Source organism: Homo sapiens, chromosome 9 (genome assembly GCF_000001405.40).
Source record: "Homo sapiens chromosome 9, GRCh38.p14 Primary Assembly".
Classification (NCBI taxonomy): Eukaryota; Metazoa; Chordata; class Mammalia; order Primates; family Hominidae; genus Homo; species Homo sapiens.
In genome coordinates, this window is record NC_000009.12 from 124,173,218 (window position 1) to 124,176,971 (window position 3,754).

General features: G+C 42.7%; 2 annotated features.

Annotated features, from left to right (window-relative positions):
• Positions 1,215-1,394: an enhancer, noted in NCBI's record as "active region_28960". NCBI's record gives its function as "activates an Ori minimal core promoter by ATAC-STARR-seq in GM12878 lymphoblastoid cells {active_cell/tissue: GM12878}" and the evidence as "EXISTENCE:reporter gene assay evidence [ECO:0000049][PMID:35858748]".
• Positions 1,415-1,484: an enhancer, noted in NCBI's record as "active region_28961". NCBI's record gives its function as "activates an Ori minimal core promoter by ATAC-STARR-seq in GM12878 lymphoblastoid cells {active_cell/tissue: GM12878}" and the evidence as "EXISTENCE:reporter gene assay evidence [ECO:0000049][PMID:35858748]".

Below are 3,754 nucleotides of genomic sequence, written 5' to 3' on the forward strand. Positions count from 1 at the left end.
GAGATTCAGATCCTCCCTTTGCAGGTTTGAGCTTAGTTCTTTAGTCTCTTGATGGGAGGGATCCCCTGTGTCGGTGGCAGTCCCCTCCCTCTGTTGGGATTCAGCACAGTGAAACCACAGGAGATTTCACTCCACTTTCCAGAAGTTTTTGGCCCAGCCACTCAGCCTCCACGCAGACCCAAAACTCAAATAGTGCTCTGCGAGGAACACCAGCCGCACATTGGGAGTTCCTTTAGTTTTCACCCATCACGTGGGCATTGTAAGAAAGCCACCAAAAGCTTTTTTGGCTTCTCTTTCCTTCAGCACAGCCTCTCAGCCTGAGTCAAGCGAGATCTGCAGTCCAAGCCTAGAAGTGGGAAACGCTACCAGAGAGGAAAACAGCTACCGTAACCCCCCAAGGGGCTCACCTTGCCTGCTGCCTAGACAGAGCAGATTTAGCAAGACAGGGGAATTGCAATAGAGAGTAATTCACGCACAGCCGGCTGTGCAGGAGATTGGATTTTTATTACTACTTAAATTAGCCTCCCTGAGCATTTGGGGAGCAGGGTTTTTAAGGACAACTTGGTGGGTGGGGGGAAGCCAGTGAGCCGGGAGTGCTGATTGGTCAGCGATGAAATCACCGGAAGTAGAAGCTGCCTTCTTGTGCTGAGTGGGTTCCTGGGTGGGGGTCAAAAGATCAGATGAGCCAGTTTATTGATCCGAATGGTGCCAGCTGATCCATCAAGTGCAGGGTCTGCAAAATATCTCAAACACTGATCTTAGGGGCAGTTTAGGGAGGGTCAGAATCTTGAAGCCTCCAGCTGCGTGACTCCTCAACCATAATTTCTAATCTTGTGGCCGATGTTAGTCCTACAAGGTCAATCTAGTCCCCAGGCAAGAAGGAGGTCTTCTTTGGGAAAGGGCTGTTTTAAACTTTAAACTTTGTTTTAAACTATAAAGTTTAAACTAAGTTTCTCCCAAAGTTAGTTCAGCCTAGGCCCAGGAATAAAAAAGGACAGCTTGGAGGTTAGAAGCAACAGGGAGTCGATTAAGTTAGATCTCTTTCACTTTCTCAGTCATAATTTTGCAAAGGCGGTCTCATCATGATCCCCAACTTACCTAGGGAGAATTCTTCCCTCTCTGGATTTTAGTTCATCTTGACCTCCTTACCATAGCTCAGTGATGCCTCTAATGACTTTGCAATTTACTTCCTTTTTACCTAATTAATGAAGTGAGAGGATTGGCCAGCCATAACCTACCATATCCTACCGAGAAACAGAAATCTCCTTCCAATAAATGTTTAAGACTATTTAAACTTGCATTTTTCTATGTATGTCTAGAGTTCCTCCGTGTTTCTGTCCTCTCCTTGAAGAAGTTAGTGACACTTTCACTTCCCATCCTTACTCCTGAATACATTCCGCATTGAAATCATGTGGGGTTTTTTTCCTACATTGCTATTGTCATCATTGCTATTGCTGCGCTAGCTGTTGCTGCTATTATGTTATGCAAATATTAGACTTAGCTACAAAGTTTTACTTTTTTTAAAATCACTGTTTCCTGTACTCTATGTCTTTTTTGGCCTTGTATTCACTTTCTTTTTCTTGAATACATTCTCGAGCAGTTCCTTTAGAGTCTGTGAGTAATAAATTTGTTTAGAGAGAATCTGTCCAAAACATCTTCATTTTCATCTCACTTTTTTTTTTTTTTTTAAATTGAGACAGTCTGGCTCTGTCGCCCAGGCTGGAGTGCAGTGGCACCATCTCAGCTCAATGCAGCCTCCGCCACCCGGGTTCAAGCGATTCTCATGCCTCAGCCTCACCAGTAGCTGGGACTACAGGTGCACGCCACCATGCCTGGCTAATTTTTTTGTATTTTTAATAGAGACAGGATTTTGCCATGTTGACGAGGCTGGTCTCGAACTCCTGACCTCGGGTGATCTGCCCGCCTCGGCCTCCCAAAATGCTGGGATTACAGGTGTAAGCCACTGTGCGGGGCCTCCTCTCACTTTTGAAGTCTAGTTAGGATAGGTATATGATCTTAGGATCAAAATCATTTCCTAGAGAATTTGAATCTCTTTTTCCATTGCCTTCCAATGTTGTTAAAGAGAAGTCACTTGCCCATCTAATTCTTATTTCTCTGAGAATAACTAATCTCGCGCTCTTTCTCTCTCAAGAATTTTCTCACTGAAATTTTCCCCATGTCTAGGAATCCCTGTACCTCTGACCCCTGCCCCCCAAAATTCTCTTACTTAGCACCTGATTGATCCTCTCAATCTACAGATTCTTGTATTTGTTCACTTTGAGGAAATGTCCTCTACTGATTGATTATCTTTTCTCCATTTTCTCCTTATGGGAACTTCTACTAAGTACTAGATAAATATTGAAACTTCTGTGTGTAGTCTCTATGCCATTTAATTGTGTGGGGTTTTTGCACTACAGTCTGAGAGAAACCCTCAGCTTATTTTAAATTAATTCATTCTTTCAAGAGCTGTTTTGAAATATGTCCACAATTCAGAAAAATATAAAGAATAAGTAATATAATAAACAGACTAGTACATATCACCCAACCACCCAACCTTGTCAGATTGTAACATTTCCCCATATTTGATTCCTATCTTTATTTTATTTTATTTTGTGTGTAGTGTGTGTGTGTGTCTGTGTGTGTGTTTTGAGACAGAGTCTCGCTCTGTCACCAGGCTGGAGTGCAGTGGTGCAATCTTGGCTCACTACAACCTCAACCTATTAGGTTAAAGTGATTCTCCTGCCTCAGCCTCCCGAGTAGCTGGGACTACAGGCACATGCCACCATGCCCGGCCAATTTTTGTATTTTTTATTAGAGACGGGGTTTCACCATGTTGGCCAGGCTGGTCTTGAACTCCTGACCTCAAGTGTTCTGCCTGCCTCAGCCTCCCAAAGTGCTGGGATTACAGGCGTGAGCCACCATGCCCGACCTGGTCTTTGTGATTTCTAATTACCTTTTTTATCATATGGTACACTTAAAATAAGTGAGTCTATCATTGTATAGGATAGGACGCACTTATTACAAATTAAGTATTATTTGTATATGATAGAATTCACTTATTTTTTAAGTGTACCATATGATGACTATGGTCATTGTGTGAAATTCTGTAACCATCAGCACAATCAAAATATAAAACAATTCTGCCACCCAAAAAAGTTTCCTCCTGCCCCTTTGCAGTTGATCCCCTGCTCCTTTCCTGGCCTTAGACAACAACTGCTTTCTGTCACTATAGTTTTGCCTTTTCTGGCATTTTCTGTAAATGGAATCAAGCAGCACAGTCTTTTATGTTTGATTTCTTTCACTTGGCATAATACTTCTGAGATTCAACCATGTTTTTGCATGTGTTATGAATGGTTCATACTTTTTATTGCTGAGTAGTATTCCCAAGCATGGATAATACGATTAATTTATCCAGGTACTAGTTGACAAACATTTGAGTCGCTTCCAGTTTGGGGCTATTCTGAATAATACAATTATGAATATCTGTTTTTTGTTTTTTGTTTTTTTTTTTGAGATGGAGTCTTACTCTATCACTCAGGCTGGAGTGCAGTGGTGTGATCTCGGCTCACTACAACCTCTGCCTCCTGGGCTCAAGCAATTCCCCTGCCTCAGCCTCCCAAGCAGCTGGGATTACAGGCTCACACCACCACACCTGGCTAATTTTTTTGTATTTTTAGTAGAGATGGGTTTTTGCCATGTTGGCCAGGCTGGTCTTAAACTCCTGACCTCAAGTGATCTGCCCGCTTTGGCCTCC